Source organism: Homo sapiens, chromosome 20, assembly GCF_000001405.40.
Source record: "Homo sapiens chromosome 20, GRCh38.p14 Primary Assembly".
NCBI classification, from domain to species: domain Eukaryota; kingdom Metazoa; phylum Chordata; class Mammalia; order Primates; family Hominidae; genus Homo; species Homo sapiens.
Window position 1 is genome coordinate 16,200,090 of NC_000020.11, and position 20,636 is coordinate 16,220,725.

General features: G+C 43.1%; 1 long non-coding RNA gene across 1 annotated transcript in view, besides 2 other annotated features; it reads right to left on the bottom strand.

Moving 5' to 3' along the window:
• LOC124904874 (uncharacterized) overlaps window positions 1–20,636 on the bottom strand; it is a 44,620-nt gene that overhangs the window by 22,176 nt on the left and 1,808 nt on the right. The gene's annotated exons all lie outside the window — the stretch shown is intronic.
• Window positions 6,545–7,046: an enhancer, noted in NCBI's record as "H3K27ac hESC enhancer chr20:16187279-16187780 (GRCh37/hg19 assembly coordinates)". NCBI's record gives its function as "activates a minimal SCP1, AML or CMV promoter by ChIP-STARR-seq in primed H9 embryonic stem cells {active_cell/tissue: H9 hESC(primed)}" and the evidence as "EXISTENCE:reporter gene assay evidence [ECO:0000049][PMID:30033119]".
• Window positions 7,047–7,546: an enhancer, noted in NCBI's record as "H3K27ac hESC enhancer chr20:16187781-16188280 (GRCh37/hg19 assembly coordinates)". NCBI's record gives its function as "activates a minimal SCP1, AML or CMV promoter by ChIP-STARR-seq in primed H9 embryonic stem cells {active_cell/tissue: H9 hESC(primed)}" and the evidence as "EXISTENCE:reporter gene assay evidence [ECO:0000049][PMID:30033119]".

Consider the following 20,636-nt stretch of genomic DNA (forward strand, 5'->3'; position numbering starts at 1 on the left):
GCACACTTTACTGCCTGGGTACCCCAGCAGCCCTGCCACCACTGCTGGGTCTCCCCAGGTCTCATGCTTCTTGTGAGTCTTGGGAGGAGATGAGTGATATATAGGGGTCCCTTCACCCATCTCCTTGCTCCTTTGGGAGGGGGGTGGGATGCTCAGTGAAACTGACACTGGGCAGGACACAGCTCATCAGACATGTCCAGAGGGGTCTGATTCTTATAAGTATGTACACACATACTGCACACATATGTATATGTGTGTAAATGTGTGTCTCTGTATATGTGTATACCTATGTGCACACACATATGTGATAGGCAGATACACACACAGTGAAACAAATAATCTGCTTTTCTCCCAAGGAGTTCAAATACTATATTTATTATATTATTTATTATAAATTGGTCTTGTAGGAGCCCATATAAAACAACAAATAGTCTCATTTGCCAGACTGCAACATTTAGACCTAAGAATAAAGGTATTTTTCTCAAGTTCATCAGGACAGCTATAGCCATCAACCCTGGTACATGGCAGTCCTGGCCAGAAATAGGCCATCATCATGCTCTAACCTATACCACAGCATTAGAGTTACTAAGACATTATTTTAGGCAGATAGAGAGGAAAAGGGATCCTTGGGAAGTTTTGGTTTCTTTTAAAGCAGCTCCAGAAACGTTTCTTGTCTTCAGGACAACGTTTCCTTGGCTTCAGGAAAGCCCCAGCACTAAGAGCTGGGCTGCAAGCTTTTTTTTTTTTTTTTTTTTTGAGATGGAGTCTGGCTCTGTCGCCCAGGCTGGAGTTGCAGTGGCGCGATCCAGGCTCACTGCAAGCTCCACCTCCCAAGTTCACGCCATTCTTCTGCCTCAGCCTTCCGAGTAGCTGGGACTACAGGCGCCTGCCACCACGCCTAGCTAATTTTTTTTTTTTTTTTTTTTTTTTTTTTTTTGTATTTTTAGTAGAGACGTGGTTTCACCGTGTTAGCCAGGATGGTCGGATCTCCTGACCTCATGATCTGCCTGCCTCCGCCTCCCAAAGTGCTGGGATTACAGGCGTGAGCCACCACCCCCAGCCAGGGCCAGCAAGCTTTAATGTGCAAATGCAGGCCATTAGAAACTGGGTCCAGCCAAATATGGCGGTTCCTGCATCTTCTTCTTGCCCCCACATGTGCCTGGTAACATGGCTGCCCCCACAAATACCCAGTGTATAGAACAAAATGGCAACCTGATTTTGCATATTGAAAGGCTAGGATGGGAGGGCCAGTTTTTTCACAGGCTACGTGAATGACATGCCTGGTCAAACCAATCCCCTGAGTCCTATGCAAATCAGACACCACCTCCTCTAGCTTCCTCATATAACTGGCTGTTTTCTGTGGCACTCAGGGTTTCCTCTCTGGGCTTGGAGCCCCTCTCCCTCTGTCTCTGTGCAGGGGAGCTTCTTCCTTCTTTCTTGCCTATTAAACTCTGTGCTCCTTAAACCACTCCACGTGTGTCTGTTGTTTTGTATAAATCGACATGAGACCAAGGACCCTGGTGTTCGTCTGTTCATCAGAGTTGTATCAACAGCAAGATTTAGACACTGGCTGAGATGCCTCCATTCCTAATTGTCTTTCAAACGTGGAACCAGGAAAAAGCTATGGAAATGACAAAGCACCTATGGGTGTGCCTAACTTTCGTTTTCCTAACAAACATTATCATCTCAAAAATGGCATAGGTTTCCATGTGGCATAAATGCTGGGACATTCAGTCTGGGGATGATCCTCCAGATATGGGCATCTTGGCCAGAAACCTACTTTGACCCCTGTCCTACTGTGTGCACCGTGATAGAAAACTAACTAAAATGCTATATTTACACTCAAAACTTTTATTTGACTCACTAAAGAAAAGAAGTTGACTTGATCAACTCAGAATCCTGCAAAATGGAGGGACCACGTAGAATCATTGATGGTGCTTTCATGGTTATCTAATTCAATGCCTTATTTCACAGAAACAGAAAGTAAAAGTCAACAAGAGGTAATGACTTGCTCAAGGTTATGCACCTCGTTCTTATCAAAGCTGGATCGCCAAACTCCCAGTGACTCCATTCTCCTCTGTGCTGTGCTGCATCTCTGTCACTCATGGATCACTAATAGTCAAAGAATGAAATTAGCAGGCTTCTGATTAAAGATGACACACATACTATGTTCATTTGCTTGACCATAGTAAGCATTTACTATGTATATGTATGTCAAACCATCAAGCTGTAAATCTTAAATATATAGAATTTTTATGGAAAAAAAGGATGGTACATGGAGTGTACTCCTTTAGATCCCTTTCCTCCCCAAACTGAAACAGAAAGGAAATAAGATAATTCAACAGAAACAAAATGTAGGAATCTTGAAAGCAGATGAGTTGATGTTAATTAAATCTACAAATCTGAATCCTTAGCCAAAGAGAACCTGAAATATATCACAGTACTCCCCAAAGTTTCAAGAATTGTTTGCATCAAGTGCCTTTGGAATGGGAGCTATTAGTGGAACATAGAAAAGGAGAATTCGTTGAAAGTCTGCTTAAGAGGCTATTAGAACCCAGGTCTAACTCTAACTCTTTTATATGTGATACAGCAAAGCCAGTGGCCCTCCCTCACTGCAAGTGAAGAATGGTAGCAGGTAAGTGAGAATTAGGGTTTGTATATGTTGAATAACAGTCTTGATTGCAGAACCAAGGGCTGATGAGTCTGACAAGATCAAGTGTCGAGTAGCCATAAGTAATCGTATTAAAACTGTTTTCTTCCATATTTTTCGGGTGTCAACTCCCAAAGTAAACACAAGACTCACAAACAGTGAAAACCAGAGCTGCCCCTGCTGTAGATGCACACCAGGCAGGACACTAATGGAATCTTAGGTCATCCCTCTTCTCATGGTGACTTTGAGTTAATCAGAGATTACCTTGGTAAACCTGACTCAGCCAGAGGGAACTTTATAAGAAGATGAAACACCAAAGAGACATTCTCCTGCTGAACCGAGAGAAAGTAGAGAGGCCTGTTGTGAATTATAGGTGGGGGCCATGTGGCAAGGATCTGCAGGAGGCCTCTAGGTACTGAAAGTGGTCCCCAGTTGATATCTAGCAAGGAGGCTATACAGTCATACAGGATATAGTCAGTCATGCAACCAAAAAGAAATGAATTCTGTCAACAACCAGTGAGCTTGGAAGAGAACCCTGAGCCTGAGACAAGAATCATGGCCCTGGCCAACACCTGGACTTCAGCCCAATAAAACTTGGAGCAGAGAAATCAGCCAACACATACCCAGACTCTTGAACCATGGAAACTGAGAAAATGAATTTATGTTGTTTGAAGTCACTAAGTTTGTGGTAATTTGTTAAATTGCAATGGAAACCATTACCTCTGGGCAGTATCAGTGGAAAAAAGTGGTCAAATATATATATGGCAGAAGTAGGCCACAGGCCAAGTATACTGCTACTTTAGCAGGAGTGAATTTTTCATTTTATGTTCTCCACATTTATCCTCCCATGTCTTCGTTTTGTTTAGTTTTTTTTATAGATACGTAATATTTTACATACTTATGGGGCACATGTGAGAGTTTTTAACACACATAGAGTGTGTCCTAATCAAGTCAGGGTGTTATTGTATTCATCACCTTGAGTATTGATCATTTCTATGTGTTGGTACCATTTATTTATTTATTCATTTATTTATTTATTTTGAGACAGAGTCTCGGGCTGGAGTGCAGTGGTGCAATTACGGCTCACAGCAGCCTCGATCTCCCAGGCTTAAGTGATCCTTTCACCTCAGCTTTTCAAGCAGCTGGGACTAGAGGTGCTCACCACCACACCCGGCTAATCTTTGTATTTTTCATAGAGATGGGGTTTTGCCATGTTGCCCAGGCTGGTCTCAAACTCCTAGGCTCAAGCAATCCTCCTGCCTCAGCCTCCCAAACTGCTGGGATTACAGGCATGAGCCACCTCGCCCAGCAGGTACTATTTGAAGTCCTCTCTTTTAGCTACTTTGATATATACAACATAGTGTTGTGAACCTCACTTCTAATTGGAGAGCAGACTATATTTCCCATTTTCCTGACTCAATTTGGAACAGGCTTTGAAACTTACTCATCTCACTCAGGATGGGGAAGGTCCAGACCAGACTCTTGTCCCATGGGCTCCTAGGAGGGGGTGGGCTGGGTCAAAAGTGACCAGACTAAAGGCAGAATGTTCTATACAACATGATCCTAAATGGAAGTGGCCAGAAATATGACTCAGAACAAATATCCAAGAGAGAAAAGTCAAAAGCAGGAGAACAAAACTTAGAGCCCTGATTACAGACAGGGCTAAAGCCAGGAAGCAAAAACAGAGACCGAAAGCAAAGAAAGCCTTGTGTTGTTTCTAGGTAGAGCCGTGGCGCAGTGGACACCTTGGAGGTCAGCAGGTGAGTGGTGTGGACATGCCAGGCTCCTGTAAAAGTGTAGGGCTACACAATTACTGTGGCCCTTCACTAAGCTCTAGCATACAGGTTTGGAATGTCTCCAAGGCAAGCCCTCATTGGCTCCTTTGGAAAGCTTTCTACAGGTCTGCTTTGGAATCTGTGTGGGGAAGTAAGCCAAGAACCCACATACCATGGCTGGAATAAGTGGTGTGTAGGAAACTTCCCCCCAGAAGTCACCCAGCTTAAGGTGGGCCTTGCTGGGAACACCCTGCTGGAGGTCTCTGTGGATTCCCAAAGGAGGTTTCAAATGGAGTCATTGTAAAGACAATTCATGATCTTAGAAGTGTCTCATGCAGTTTCCTCGTGATGGTCTTGTTCAATTTTCATAGAATTCCTATGTGTATATTCATTACATTCATTTTTGCAGAGTCAATTCATCCAATAATAAGAACAGAAAAATAGAAGACCCAGAATATTTTGGCCCAGGCTCACCCTTTAACAGCCCCTCATAAAATCCAAGTGTTGGAAGGAACTTTAGTCAGCATCTGTCCCAACCTCCTACACTGGTGGGGAAACTTGGGTTCGAAGAGAATATGCGACTGTGGAAGAAACCAACAACTTCAAATGTTCAAACACTGCTATAAGACAAAGTGATGAAAAAGATGAAATTGGAGATCCAATTCTATGCTCATGAGTGGTGTGATCTCAGGCAAGTTACTTTATGTCTCTAAACTTGAATTTCCTCATCTGCAAAAATGAATATAATAAATATACACATAGGAATTCTGTGGAAATTGAACAAGGCCATCATGGGAAAACACACAGCAGCATGCATGACATATAACTTTTCTATACATTTTCTTGTGGTCAACTGTTCTTGCCTCTCTTCTCTTTGGACCCATTCTGCAGAATCATCTTGGAAGAAGTCAAAAGCATTGATTTTCTGAATCTGTGCTTCTAAATCTTGAGTCTTAGAACAAACTCATCACCCTCTCCAGGCCCAGAATAAAATAGAGCTGGTGTTCCCAGCATCTCATGACAGCCTCTTAGCCTTGTAGGAAAACTCATAGCGTGGTCTGCAGGGTAGATGCAGGAAACATCAAAGCCCCAAGTCCCAGTCCTGAACACAGTGAAAGACAAGCTGTCTTGAAAGGATCAGCTTGCTCTGTTGTAGGATGCTTCAAGCATGTTAAACAGGAACTAATGGCAACAATGGAACCATGACTCATGGCAATGGAAGTGCAGCCATTAAATTTTCATGATTTCAGAGCTCAGGACACACGAGTTCATCACTATGGCACTTTTTATGTCAGTGAATTTATAATGAACATAGTTGTTGAAAATCAGCACTATTCACAGCCATAGCTTAGTACATAATGCTGCCATTTTAGAAATTGTTATCAAAACTATTTTACTATAAAAACTAAAAGAACCTTTAATAAGTAAAGGAACCTAAAGGCCCCAGCACCACAATTATTTCTCAATGGGCTAAAAAAAGGTTCATAGTTGTCAGTTAATGCTTTCAGGTTATGGTACCAGTTGGGCCTTTTTTTTTTTTTTTTGACAGAGTCTCACCGTATCACCCAGGCTGGAGTGCAGTGCTGCAATCTCGGCTCACTGCAACCTCCACCTCCTGGGTTCAAGCAATTCTCCTGCCTCAGCCTCCCAAATAGCTGGGATTACAGGCACGGATTACAGGCACCCACCACCAAGCCCGGCTAATTTTTTTTGTATTTTTAGTAGAGATGGGGGTTTCACCATATTGGCCAGGCTGGTTTTGAACTCTTGACCTCAATCGATCCACCCACCTCGGCCTCTCAAAGTGCTAGGATTACAGGCATGAGCCACTGCTCCTGGCTGGGCCATATTTTTAAGAAGACAATGTGATAGAGAAAGCTCGGCGATTTGTTTAGCTAATGGGTAATAAAACCTGAATGGGCTTCTGTTGCCCATCCCCTAGTCCAGAGTAATTTCATATGTCTGTCCCCAGCCCATCATCACACACACACACACACACACACACACACACACACACACACACACATGCAGGCACCAATTTAAAAAGAGGAACTCCTCAAGGGGCCAACTTGTATTTCCATATCATCACTGGGAGCTCTCTCTGACTTGTCATCCACTGGCTGTGCAGTTTGAGGACCTTATCAGATTGACCTGTCCCAGATCATAGATCCTGAGACAAGGATTTGAGTGTAGATGGTTTATTGCGGGGGAATGGGTGACCTCAGGAAGCACTAGTAGGGAGTGGGGAGTAAAACAGGAAAGGGAAGGTGGCCAATATAAGGTATTTTGATGTGCGAGTTACTGTGATGAGGCTCAGTCCCACTGGGGACCTCTGGGAGACTGTATAGAACATGCCTTGGAGTAGGTCCCTCTTTAAGGAGTTAAAGAGCTGAGGTGTTTAGCTAATAACTTACTTTCATCATTGGTTAAAGGCTGCCCCCAGGTGAACTCCTCTATACTCTGACCTGCCCCACACATCGACCAAGGACACACCTGCAGCCAGCAAAAGCCCTCAGGCTTTCTCAGGTGCTGGCAATGGGACGTCATTAACATGCACAGGAATGGTGAGTGGCAGGCAAATACAGGCAGGGCACTGACGATGTGTGTGTCATGCTACTTATAAACCTCCTCAGTTCCAGACTCTCTCAAGTGGCCCTACTACCACTTGCCATCTCCTTCCTAACAGGTCACTCAGAGATGGGCCCTGGCAGTTTTCTCTGGAGGACCCTGCCTGCAACCTGCCCTTGTGCACAGCCCTGACCAGGACCAGTGCAGGAAAATAAAAGAGGGGGAGAAGCAGACGGGCACCCAGTGACAGGCAGCACATGTAGTGGTTCAGAGCCTGGACACAGGTGCTCCATACCTCAGAATGGAGCCCAGATCTCCTATTTTTCACTCCAAAGTTATTTTAACTCTGGACCTTGATATTCTCCATGAGTCAATTCTATCAGCCAGGCTGTTTAAAGATACCCCCTAAAAAAGTAGCACCAAAGATATGCCATGTTCATACGAGACCCTCTACAAGCCACCACTACAGACCCAGAAGGAGAGGCCTGGTGCTCAGGGGCCAAGCCATGCAGCAAGAAAATACTGTTGTTTTCTGGAAGAGCCGGTAAACATTCTGGGAGGGAGCTGTAAGGGACAGGTAGCTAAAAATAATGACAGAGATGCACGGTTTCATTACAGTCCCACAGACCACCAGCAAGGGAAGGAGAGCCATCTGGAATTGACTGAACATAAGCAAGGTCCAGAAGATTTTAATTTTAAAACAATTTGATTATTTAAAAAGTATAAGAAGAACCTGGAGGAAAACAAAATGGTTAAGGGTGCATGTGAGAGAAAATTCTTGTGTATGTTCATCAGTGAAAAGAGATAATGAGAAAGAGAAAAGCACAGAAATAAATAGAAAGACAGAGAACTGGTCGGGCGCGGTGGCTCATGCCTGTAATCCCAGCACTTTGGGAGGCCAAGGCAGATGGGTCACCTGAGGTCAGGAGTTCGAGACCAGCCTGGACAACATGGTGAAACCCTCTTTCTACTAAAAATACAAAATTAGCCAGGTGTGGTGGCACATGCCTGTAATCCCAGCTACTCGGGAGACTGAGACAGGAGAATCACTTCAACCAGGGAGGCAGAGTCTGCAGTGAGCCAAGATCGTGCCACTGCACTCCAGCCTGGGTGACAGAGCAAGACTCCATCTCAAAAAATAAAAATAAAAAAATAAAGTAAGAGGACTAAATGGGGAGGGAGAGAAAATGAGAGAAGAAAATAAAAGGTGTATGAGGAAAAGGAAGGAGACAATTTTTCTGTTGAGACTTTTTAGTTCTAAACAACAGAAAATAAGTCTGATTGATTCAAGTTTAAAATTACCCATTGGAAGAATAGCTTATAATGCAAAAAATAGAAAATAAAAAAATGAATAAGCAGGCCTCAGGAGAATGGGGGAACAGGAATGAGACAGTTCAGCTCCCCAAATCTAGGCAGCAGGAACAAATGGGTGATCTCTCCCGGTGTCTGCACTCAACACCAACCATGTTCTATCAACACAACACTGAAGACTCAAATTCCCAGGAGGAAGAGTGTGGCCTATTTTGGTCACGTGATGTGCCTTTGATTGAAGGTTGCTTGGGAAGGGGGAGGGAGGCTTGATTGACAGTCCCACATAGATCACGTGGAATGAGGGAAGGATGCCTCTATGATGGTAACAAAACAAAGAGCAAGAGGAGCCAGGCAGGCAAAAGCATCAGCTGTCCACCACCCAAAGTGAACCCAAAAGAGAGGAAGACAGTGGCACTCAACGGAAGTTAGAAGAGGATGAGCCACAAATGTGGGAAAAACTTGGGGATAGGAAGGGGAAAGGATGAACAAAGAGAGAAAATATAAGAGTATAAGAAAATTATCCAGGGGAGAGAAGCTAATAAAGGAAGAAGAAAACTAGCTTCTGTATGAGGAGTGAGGAGCCAGACAGGAAGAAGGGAAAGGGAAAGGAGAGAGTGTCGTGGGATGGAGATGATGGCAGAGAATCACTTAGGGCTCACTCATGACTTCATGAGTCTGTGATGCTGCTCACTACAGATCCAGGCCTTGCCAGGCCTGTGAAGTTGGTGGAAAGTGGGAGGGCCCAGGCCACCCCAAGACAATGAGATTTGACATTCACTCCATTCGGCATGGACATCCACTAAGTGATTAGGTGTCCATGATTGGTATCATTCCATTTTTCCTGCCGTGCAACAAGCCACCCCAAAACTTAGTAGCTTAAAATAACGTCTTATCATCGCTCATGGATCTGTGGCTTGACTGAACTCAACTGGCTGGTTTCCACTTGGTGTGTCTCATGCAATGCAGTCAGGTTTGTCTGGAGTGGCAGTCATCTGAAGGCTTAATTGGGCTGGAGTGTTCAAGATGACCCAGTCACACGATTGCCAGACAATGTTGCAGCTCGGCTGGAGCTTTCAACTGAAATACCTCAATGTGGCTGGGGAGTTTCAGTGTAGCATCTGTGTTCTGAGAAGGGGATACCCAAGAGTGCAGGACACTATCAGGCATGTTAAGCTGAGCCTGGAATGGGCTCAGCATCACCTCTGCCATGTGCTACTGGTCAAAGCAGTCATGGGGCACACCCAGACTCAAAGGAGTACAAAGTAGATTATTCCTCTGGAAGGGAGTTTGGAAAAGTTACACTGCAGAATAACATGTGGGATAAATCTTTAGAAAATATAATATGCTGTAAGTATCTACCTTCTTGACTGTGAAGAATTATTTCTTGCCTCTTTAAATCTTTCTGAGTTGTTAGTTGCAAATCGAGCATATGAATTGTGAACTTTCAATCCCACATAACTTCCAGAATGTCTTCATTTCAAATACATGTTGATTGGTCAGAGAAAATAATATTTTTTCTAAGACTCTAATCACCACATTCTTCTTGAAAGTAATGTCCAGTGTGGGCGCACCAAGTCTGTAGAGAGTCCACATAAGACAAATGCTTGCCATACCATCTTCTCATGATTCATTCATTTATTCCTTAAATATCTTAGTCTCAGGCACCATGGTAAATATTTGGGATGCGTAGATAAAAGGCACAGTCTCTTACGCTCAAGGGTTTGGCAGCCATAAGAGAAGTTTATTCACATCTCATCTTACAGACGCCTGGGGAGTTGGAGTTAAAATTCAGCAAATAAGCTTAAAATTGCATATTTTCAAAATTACTCTTTAAAATCCCTTAGGAAGTCACCACTTTGTATACTGTCTCACAACAAGCCCAACACAGATGTTTTTCATCCATTGTTGGAAACTGATTCTTGTTTTATTTTATCAAGCACTAAATAAAACAGCCACTTGGCATATAGGAGCCACTTCTCTGCTCTCAGCACTCGTCCTCTGGACTGAACTGGCCTCCTGGTTGGTCTCCCTGCTCCCTCCCTTGCCCACCTACAGCCAGAGTAATCCTGCTTACGCTGAAGTTCGATCACTTCACTCCTCAGCTCAATAGCAGCCAATGCCCATGTTACTCAGAAACACATCAAAAGTCCTTTCTGTAGCCATTAAGGCTTCACATGATGTGACTCCTGTCTAACCTTCCAACATCACCTCTAATCATGTTCCCCTTCACTCCCTGTACTCCAGACACACGAACACTTCCTCCTTCATGCCAAACCCAGTTAGGCCTCTGGACTTTTGGATTCCCTGCTCTTTCTGCCTAGAACATCCTTTCCCCAATTAGCCCATTCACTGATTCACCTCATTCAGTTTACTATTTAAAAGGAGGCTGGGCAGAAAGCTCGTCCCTGAGCACACTATATAAAATAACCTCCTCTCTCATTTTCTGTCCTCCTTATCTCATCTTATGTATCTTCACAGCATTTGTCACTACCTGAAATTGGGCATCTGCCTCCCTCACTGAAATGTAGCCTCTATGAGGGCAGGGCTTTCATTAGCTTTGTACTTTAATGTATTCCCAACTCCTAGGATAGTGGCCAGCACATGGTGTTCAATGAATGTGTGTTGAGTGAACGACAGGATGTGTGGATGGGTTAGTTGGATGGGTGAGCAGAAAAATGGATATACATTTATGCATTGATAAATAGATACCACCTCTGGGTGGTGGAAGCTGTAATGTGCCACCCAGATCTAACATTTTTAGGACTGAGATACCCATTTCTCTAGCTACCAGGAGAACTGGTTGCTATTGGCTTCCAGCCATGGCCTCTTCAGTAATTGCCGTGAGCTAAAGGAGCTTCCTTGCCCAAATTTGTGCCCCCTTCCTAGGGTCAGCTTGTATCTATTGACTGGTTGAGTTGGAGGTGCATAAGCCTGGCCCTCTTGACTCATTTGGGGACAATTCTAAAGCCTTGGTTGCAATTGCAACACAGTTTAACTTCTCGTTACCCAATTCTGCTCCCTCACTCTAAGGATGTTGGTCCCAAGATCATTCCCCAATAAATCTCCTGCCCCCAAATCTCCATATCAGAGTCTGTGACCAGGAGACCTAACTTCGGACAGTATGGTCCAAAAATACACTTTAAAACACTGGAATCACATGCAGTTTAGGGTTTTCTCGCACCACAAGAAAAATGTAGAAACTGAGAAAATCTAAATAGTCCATAGATTGAAATCTTCCATTTTACTCTCATCCCAAGGCACTTGCTCACAAGTAGAAATGCTGGCAAAATTGCACAACTCATTTGAACTCTGCTGCTCCTCTTTCCCCTCCCTCTGTCTCCCTGTGTGCTCCTCTATTTCTCTTTCCACACAGCTCATGCAGTTGAGCCCAACTACATTAAACGTGGATATGATGCTATCTCACTGTGTCCACTTTGACCAGGAAAGGTATCTCACCCACAGTAGACAGGCTTGTTGTAGAGTCTGGAAAGAACATTTCTCTTCAAAAAGGGGCAAGCTAGACTCTGATATACATGAACTCTGCACTGCTAATGGCAGGAAAATCAGCAGGAACTCAAAAGATGTCCTAAGAGCGGCCAAGAGGCATTGCATGAGGTGAAGTCAGGAAGAAGCTGAAGCATTTGAAAGAAGAAAATACACACAGGAAAAAAAGCTATGAGACACAGAGAGAGAATGCAGGGGAGAGGGTGAGGGAGCCAGCCATTAGAAGGGGAAGAACAAGAAACATCCTTTTCTTTTTAATAAGCATATAGGGTACAAACTTTCAGTTATAAATGAGTAAATTCTGGGAATCTAAATTACAATATTGTAACTATAGTTAACCACAATATAGTCGAGTATTGTTTACTTGAAATTTGGTAAGAGCAGATCTAAAGTGTCCTCACTACATGCACACTCAAATGGTAACTATGGGTGGCCATGGATGTGTTCATTACTTAGACTGTGGTAATCAGTACACAACATATGCATGTGTCAAATCATCACATTGTATACTTCAAATATACACAATTTTTATTTATCAACTAAATACATTTTTTAAAGCATGTGTTCAAGGATAATCAAGAACATTTCAGCCAGGCATGGTGGCTCAAGCCTGTAATCCCAGAACTTTGGGAGGTAAAGGCTGGTGGATGACTTGAGCCCACGAGTTCAAGACCAGCCTGGGCAACATGGTGAAACCCCGTCTCTACAAAAACCCAAAAATTAGCTGGGCATAGTGGTGTGCACCTGTAATCCCAGCTACTCGGAAGGCTGAGTTAGGCGAGTTACCTGAATCTAGGGAGGTAGAGGCTACAGTGAACTGACATCATGCCACTGCACTCCATCCTGAGCGACAGAGTGAGACCCTGTCTCAGAAAAGATAAATTGCCAAAAAAAAAAAGAAAATTTTCATGTAATATTTTTTGTAGTAGCCAAATTATCTAATAGTCCATTGGTAGGTGAAGATTGGTTAAATATGTTACAGTATACCCATATTATGAGATGCTATGAAGCCATCAAAAATAAAGCTGCTCTGGGCGGGGCACAGTGGCTTTGGGAGGCTGAGGAGGGTGGATCACGTGAGGTCAGGAGTTTCAGTCTCCTGAACTCATGGGGAAACCCCGTCTCTATTAAAAATACAAAAATTAGCCAGGCGTGGTGGTGCAAACCTGTAGTCCCACCTACTTAGGAGGCTGAGGCAGAAGAATTGCTTCAACCAAGGAGAGGAAGGCTGCAGTGAGCTGAGATCACGCCACTCCACTTCGGCCTGGGTGACAGGCAAGACTTTGTCTCAAAAAAATAAATAAATAAAAATAAAAATAAAACTGCTCTATATGTGAAAGAATGAATAACATTTAGCATAAAATTTTCGTTCCTATTCAAAAAAGTGAGAAGCACAGAGAGGACAGTGAAGTGAGTAGGGAAGCCTTAGAGTAGGAAGCTATGGGCTCCAGCCACTCACCTCCCCAAAACTTTCTTGGGGGCTGATTGATGATCCAGCCGTATGTATGTCCTGAGGCCCAGATATACTGTGGGTCTCCTAGTCCCACTTGTTGAATTTCCCCATATTCATTACTACTCACGTGGCTAGGATTATTATTTTTCTAATTCCTGTAAATATTCTTTCAATAAACCCAGTATGTGAGGCTTTTGGGGTTCCTTAAACCCCAAAATATCTTACTGGCAAACATAATTATTACAAAATGATAATGGCCACCATTACTATTATATACTATTATTACATATGTTATCACATACCATTATTATTACATACCAGGCATTCACTATCTCATAAATCCTTATGACAATTTGAAAGAGTGAAGAACCTGAGTATTTAGAAAGAGTGTCCAATACTAGGGAATTGGTTGGATAAATTATTGTAAGTCAGGTCAGTGCAGCTGAACTGGATTCAAAACTAGCTGTATCAGATTCTATATCTCAAACCAGTCTGATTCTTAAGCATGTGTTATAGTGGCTGGGCTCTATTCTGCAGCACTAGGTACTATCAGAGGAAGTGGAAGGAAGACAGAGGAAGACATGGAGCTAGGAGGAGGGCCCTAAGCTGTCCTGAGTGTCACAGTTCTGCGCTTAGTTCCAAGTTGGAAGCCCCTGGCTGATCCCTGGTGGATCCCCAAAGGCCAGTTCTCAAGAGGGTTTGCCTCCCAGTGAACCCTTGGTCTGAGAGAATAATAATAGTACCGCTATGCAGACTGACCATGAAGAATTCAACTATGGATTCTTTTTTTTTAAACAGAGTCTCACTCTGTCACCCAGGCTGGAGTGCAGTGGCATGATCTTGGCTTACTGTAGCCTTCCCCTCCCAGGTTGAAGCTGTTGTCCTGCCTCAGCCTCCCAAGTAGATGGGATTGTAGGCATTTGCCACCACGCCTGGCTAATTTTTTAAAATTTATTTATTTTAGTACAGACAGGGTTTCGCCATGTTGGCCAGGCTGGTCTCAAACTACTGACCTCAAGTGATCCACCCACCTTGGCCTCTCAAAGTGCTGTGATTACAGGCATGAGCCACCGCACCCAGCCCGATTATGGATTCCTAAAGAAAATCAGACAAAAGACTGAAAAGAAAAGTCATCCTGTCGCTTGCTCTGCTAGGCCATATGGTTGAACAAAAACCATGCCACAGCAAGGTTCCTCTCACTCACAGGTGATTCTAACATCCATTTACCTAACCATTCTTCTTTTTCTGCATACATACATGTGCATTTTACAACTATGCCGTCTGTGTTACCATAGTTATGGTCCTGTGAGCATTTCCATAAAAATGACAGTAAATCTTTCTTTTCTGGGGTTCATAAATAGCCTATAAAAACTAGGTCTCGGTTGAAACTTATTCCCAACAGTTTCCAGCCATGACACTAATAGAGTTCATTAGCAAATTAAGCAAATATCAATTTACTTGGCAAGCTAAAAAAGCACAAACGTTTACTATTTCCAGAGGCAAACAGGCATTCGTAAAGGAGAAAAATAAACTAAGTCCCAGCATAACCAAAATTATAGACTTACCCTTAATTTTAATGTCTGTAAGTCATTCCTTTGATTAATTTAAAATGTTAAAAAGTCAGATTAGTACCGTACAATGTACAGATGTTTCCTGTTTGCATTTGCTAGAGATTTTTTTATAATAAACAACAGAAATGGGAAATGGCTACCTTAGGCCAGATGGAAATTTACCACAGGGATTTTCAGGATCACACGGGATCATTGGAAAGCCGGAGAGGATGAGGAGGAACTGAGGTTGAATTGGATGGAAAGCAGATCCAAATTGTCTTGGCAGCAGAAACTGCTGGACAGCACCTTTTCTGAAATGAAGGCATTCTAACCCTTTCACTTCTATCCTCAGCCTTTCAGTCTAGATTTAAAATCTCGTGAAAGGGTATGGCCAGCCAAGCCTAAGTTACGTGGCTGCTGCCTGTTTTGAGGGCATCTGATCTTGATGTTCCCACAATGGGGGATGGTGAGTTTCCAGCTGTGTCATTTACAAATGCCAAGAAAGAGATAGAGACAAAGAGACAGAAAGGAGGGAGGAGAGAGAGAGTGGGAGAGACAGTGAGGAAGAAAAAGAAGAAAGAGAAAAAGAGAGAAGGGGAGAAAGAAAGAAAATAGATAAAACCACATAAATATCCAATACTTGATAATTAGAGGGATAAATTATGCTAAAAATACACAATGGAATGCCATTCAATCATTAGAAATTATGTTACTAAAAAAACATGTAGGCCAGGTGCAGTGGCTCACACCTGTAATCCCAGTACTTTGGGAGGCCGAGGCAGGCAGATCACGAGGTTAGGAGTTCGAGACCAGCCTGACCAACATGGTGAAACCCCATCTCTACTAAAACTACAAAAATTAGCCAGGTGTGGTGGTGCGCACCTGTAATCCCAGCTACTCAGGAGCCTGAGGCAGGAGAATCACTTGAACCTGGGAAGCAGAGGTTGCAGTGAGCCGAGATGGCACCATTGCACTCTAGCCTGGGCAACAGAGTGAGACTCCATCTCAAAAAAAAAAAAGCAATGACTTCAAAAGCTATACTCAATACAGTGTTAAGTAACAAAGTAAGTTAACAGATAGTGTGTTCAAAATAATCCTATTTTAGAACTAAATAAATAACTGAATAAAATAAGAAAGCGTGTGTGCCTAGAAGAAAAACTGGTGATGGGATTTCAAGTTATTTCTTTCTTATTTTAGCTAATCTCTGTGATCTAAGTTTTTAAAAATAGATCTATGTTGCTTTTGAAAAAGTGATAAAAAGTGAAAAGAACTTTAGAGGTTTCAAAACTGCATCTTGAGTCTCTGAGGTAAATCTAACAAGTACTGTAGTGTTACTATCCCATTCCATAGATGGGGAAGTTGAGGTATAGAGAGGATATTTTCATACGGAATCACAAGGCCGAATCAAGATAGGAGCCAGGACATTCACCTCAATGTCTTGGTTCTCTTTCACTAACCCACAAGTGGTCGTCTTCTAGGAAACGTGGAGTCACCTGGTCGTGACCTTTGACAAAAGGGTAAGAACTGGGCATTCAGTTCTCTTCTTGTGAGTCAGGTCAGCCTCTCTACTTACTTTAGCTTTAAGAGCTGACTTGGAAGCCAGTAAAGCTTGGGCTTTTTCTCCTTTTTTTTTTTTTTTTTTTTTTTTTTTTTTTGCCAGAGAGGGCAATTGAAGTGGTATTGGAAATTCTGAGTGTTGTATCGGAATCGCCTAATGTTATCTTTCTCATGCCATTTTGAAATCATCTCTGTGTCTGAAAGGTCACAAACAGTGGCTAAATAGCATTGATTTCCAGGCACTTACAAATGTACATGACAACTCCTGAAAGGGGCTTTCATGGATTGAAGAGCAGCTGAGCCAATGGGATGCGGTTGGTAAATATCTTCTTTGAACAATGTGGACTGAGTCATTATAAAGAAAATAAATCTGTAGGCGTATGTCACCAGCAGACATGAAATGGAGCCGTGCTTTCCTGAGGTGAAGGCTGCAACATCCTTAAAGCCCAGCTGACCTGGGCCACAGCTTGGGGACGGACATTTGCCTGCACAGACACCACGACTGCCTTAAGAAATGAGCTCCTCCCTCCATGCCCCCAAGGGACTGCAGTTCCATAACGGAAAAGTGAATTAGACTTAGTCTGTGTGGGGCAGAGGCACAAGGTTGATGGATGTTGCTTTTCACTGTGAATTCAGAAAGCTCTTAGAAAACGCGGTCAAATTTAATTTAAATGCTTTTCATTTGAGATACTTCAGTCAGTGCCAGGGACCGATGGCAATTTCTGATTTCAGGACATCAGTTGAGCCATGAGCCCACCTTTTTTCCTAGCAAGAAAAGCAGTGGAGTAATTCAGCAGCGGGTCTGTCTCACGTGGCCCCCTGTGCCTTTGCACAGTGGCCAGCCCTCATGCCCCACAACTAAATATGTGTTGAGAGCCTCGGCCTTGGCTGTGTGTGAGGGCACAGTGGGCTCCAGTCCCAGGGAAGGGACCACATTGAAAGCCCAAGCAAGTGAGTTTGTTAATCCCCTTAACCAAATGCCAAATTAATCAGAAGAAATCTGTATTCCAATAGAGATGACTCCTGCCTACTGTGTGGATTTCTATTGTTTGCTTTTTCCTAAGCATTTAGGTAAGGGTACTTTCCTGGATTATTTCCTGTGTAGCATCAAGTTTTCGAGAGGAGTAAAAGGAACATTTGATCTCATGTCAGATAGGCCTCAAAGTATGGCGCAGGGTTCCTGAAGGGTCCCCCAGATCCTCTTGGGGCCACACTAAGTAAAAACTATCTTTTAAATAATGCTACAATGTTATTTGTCTTTTTCAAGCTCATTCTCTCACGAGCATACAGTGGAGTTTTCCAGAGGCTTTAAGACGCATAATGTTATCATCACTCTGATGGCCATGGAGTGTGTGCTTGTGTATTCTTGTCTTTCAAAATTCTCTGTTTTAATTTTTACAAGATAAATATTTACAGAAATCACCTGCATAAGCAAAATCTCCTTGGGATCTTCGGTAAGCTTTAAGAGTGTTTGAAAACCGTTGATCTAATGTTTTTAGACAATTAGATCTGCTTCCCAATCTGTTGACAGGCTGTGGTGAAGATTACATTAGATGAAGTTCATGGCATTGAGACAATATACCAAAATTCATCCTTCTCTGCTCAAATGCAGCCATTGTTTCAGGTTGATCTGAGCATTCAACTTTACCCTTTATGGGAGTATCATGCCTGCATGAAAATACCCATTGCCCCCTCTCCATAAGGCCATGCCCTCAGCTCCAGGCCTGCCCCTTTATCCAACTTCCTACTGCAGCCTTCTCTGGGTATCATTTCGGTAGATATTAGGTGCATGGTACTTTTTCAAGGGTATCTATCTAGTAGACACCATAAGACCATACCCCCATGGGACGCAGCCAGAGTCTTTCTGGAAACGAGTGGTCACTTCTGGTATCAACCACTCCAAGATGCAGAAGGTTTTCAGACAGCAACCAGATCTTGGAGAGGAACTTCTCAGTGTCTTTCTGGGTCTCACCTTATTGGGCTAGGATTGTTTAGGATGTAGTATATTTGTGATGGCTCCCAGATGTGGAGGTGAGATGGTATCTGGCACTTGGAGAGAGACAAGAAGCCTGGCAGACGGGACACCTACCTGGGCAGATTTCTTCCATCCTATTAATCCCCAAACACTCTGTATTAACTTCTCAGGGATCATTGGTTCTTCAGAAAAATACAGTCCCCATTTCCCTCATTCTGTCATGTGTGAGATCCTGACACACCCATTTCCTCTACAGGAGGTCAACTCTATTCTGTGTCAGAAAAAAAAATTGAGCAGGAAAAGTCTCATGGCAGGAAAACCCACCAGAGAGGGTGGGGACTGAGAGGAAATCTGGATTGGACAGATCTTTCTCAAGTAAGAATATCAGGATTTATGATCGAGTAGACGTGGGGAGTGAGGGGGAAAAAAGCAACTCTGGCTGACTCCAAGGGTCTGGCTTGGAATACAGGACTAATGGACAGAGACCATTCACTGAGGCAGAGTAATGAAAGAAGAGCTCTGGATTAGGAGGTAGGAGGAAGGACGAAGAGTCGTTAGAAATTCTGGCCTAGATTGTAGGCTAGAGGTCAGCCTTAAAGTCATAAAATGGCAGCTGAATCCCGGAGGGAGTGTGCTCTGCCTCTGAGACATTTCTGAAGCAAATTCACAGCAGAACTCTTGGTGGAAGAACCAAGGTGGCAGAAAATCAGCCATCTGTTTTGCAAGATTCTATAGAGTCCTTGTTGCTGAATCTTGTTGTTGACTGCCTTTCCTGATGGCACTTCTGGTTCCCTGACTTGATTTCCCCTTTGGCCTTCAGATCTGCTTTTGTACCCCAAAACTTGGCTCTCTCCCTCTGCTCCTCAAGTCTTCCCTCTTTCAACACTTTCCCTCCTGAATCCACTGGGAAGGCTTAGAACATCCAAGGCAAACACTCTATAACTGGCTCTGCTGCTCAGTTCCCCACACATCCTCTTTTTTTGTACACTTCCAAGACCATCTCAGAAAATCCTTTATTCTCTCTTTGCTGAGTCTCTTTATTAGAAACTTGAGGGAGGGGGAGACCACACAGGGAGGGCATGTAGAGCAAGAAGAGGAAAGGATCTCAGTAGAATATGAACAATAAGGCAACCATTAGCACACTTGAAAGACTCTCCACTTTCTTCTATTGTGTGCTTTTCTGAGTTTTGTTTTCAAGGGAATTATCTTAAATAGCAAATTTAAAGAATTTATGTCATTTGGTAAATTTGTATTAGGGCCAGATCTCTTACCCTCGAAATGATTCAATTCATTATAGCAAATGTTATTCCATTCAAAAGTCAAATGTAACAACAGAACATCAGAAAGAACAAAAATATCTGCAACCTGCACAGTGGTTTCTTTGTAACAAATGTGTGTACAAATAATGTCTTCTATTTTAAGAATGTAGGTGGTCCTTTATAATTCACTACTGACCAAAATTTGTTGTTTACTAGATATTTTACATGAAGATGAGAAATTAGATGAGGTAGGGCCAACAGTTTGTTTAATTTGGATCACTTGCAAGTTTTTGCTGAGTGATGAGTAAACTAAACGACCATACTTGCTAAATTTCCTAGGTAGGTGGTATGAAAGTGAGTTAGGAATTTGGCAGGACTTATTTCACAAGATAAAGGTCACAAAGACCCCACTGATAAAACAGCTTGTAGTAAAGAAGCCGGCCAAAACCCACCAAAACCAAGATGGCAATGAAAGTGACCTCTGGTGGTCCTCACTGCTCATATGCTAATTATAATACATTAGCATACTAACGGAATTTCCCACCAGTGCCATGACAGTGTACAAACGCCATAGCAACTTCCAGAAGTTATCCTATATGGTCTAAAAAAGGGAGAAATCCTCCCTTCCAGGAATTCTCCATCCTTTTCCCAGAAAACTCATGAATAATCCACCCCTTGTTTAGCATATGATCAAGAAATAACCATAAAAATAGCCAACCAGCAGCCCTCAGGGCTGCTTTGCCTATAGAGTAGTCACCCTTTTATTCCTTTAATTTCTTTTTTTTTTTTTTGAGATGGAGTCTTACTCTGTCGCCCAGGCTAGAGTGCAGTGGCGTGATCTCGGCTCACTGCAACTTTTACCTCCCAGGTTCAAGTGATTCTGCTGCCTCAGCCTCCCAAGTAGCTGGGACTACAGGTGCACACCACCATGCTGGGCTAATTTTTGTATTTTTACTAGAGACGAGGTTTCACCATATTGGCCAGGCTGGTCTCGAACTCCTGACCTTGTGATCCGCCTGCCTCAGCCTCCCAAA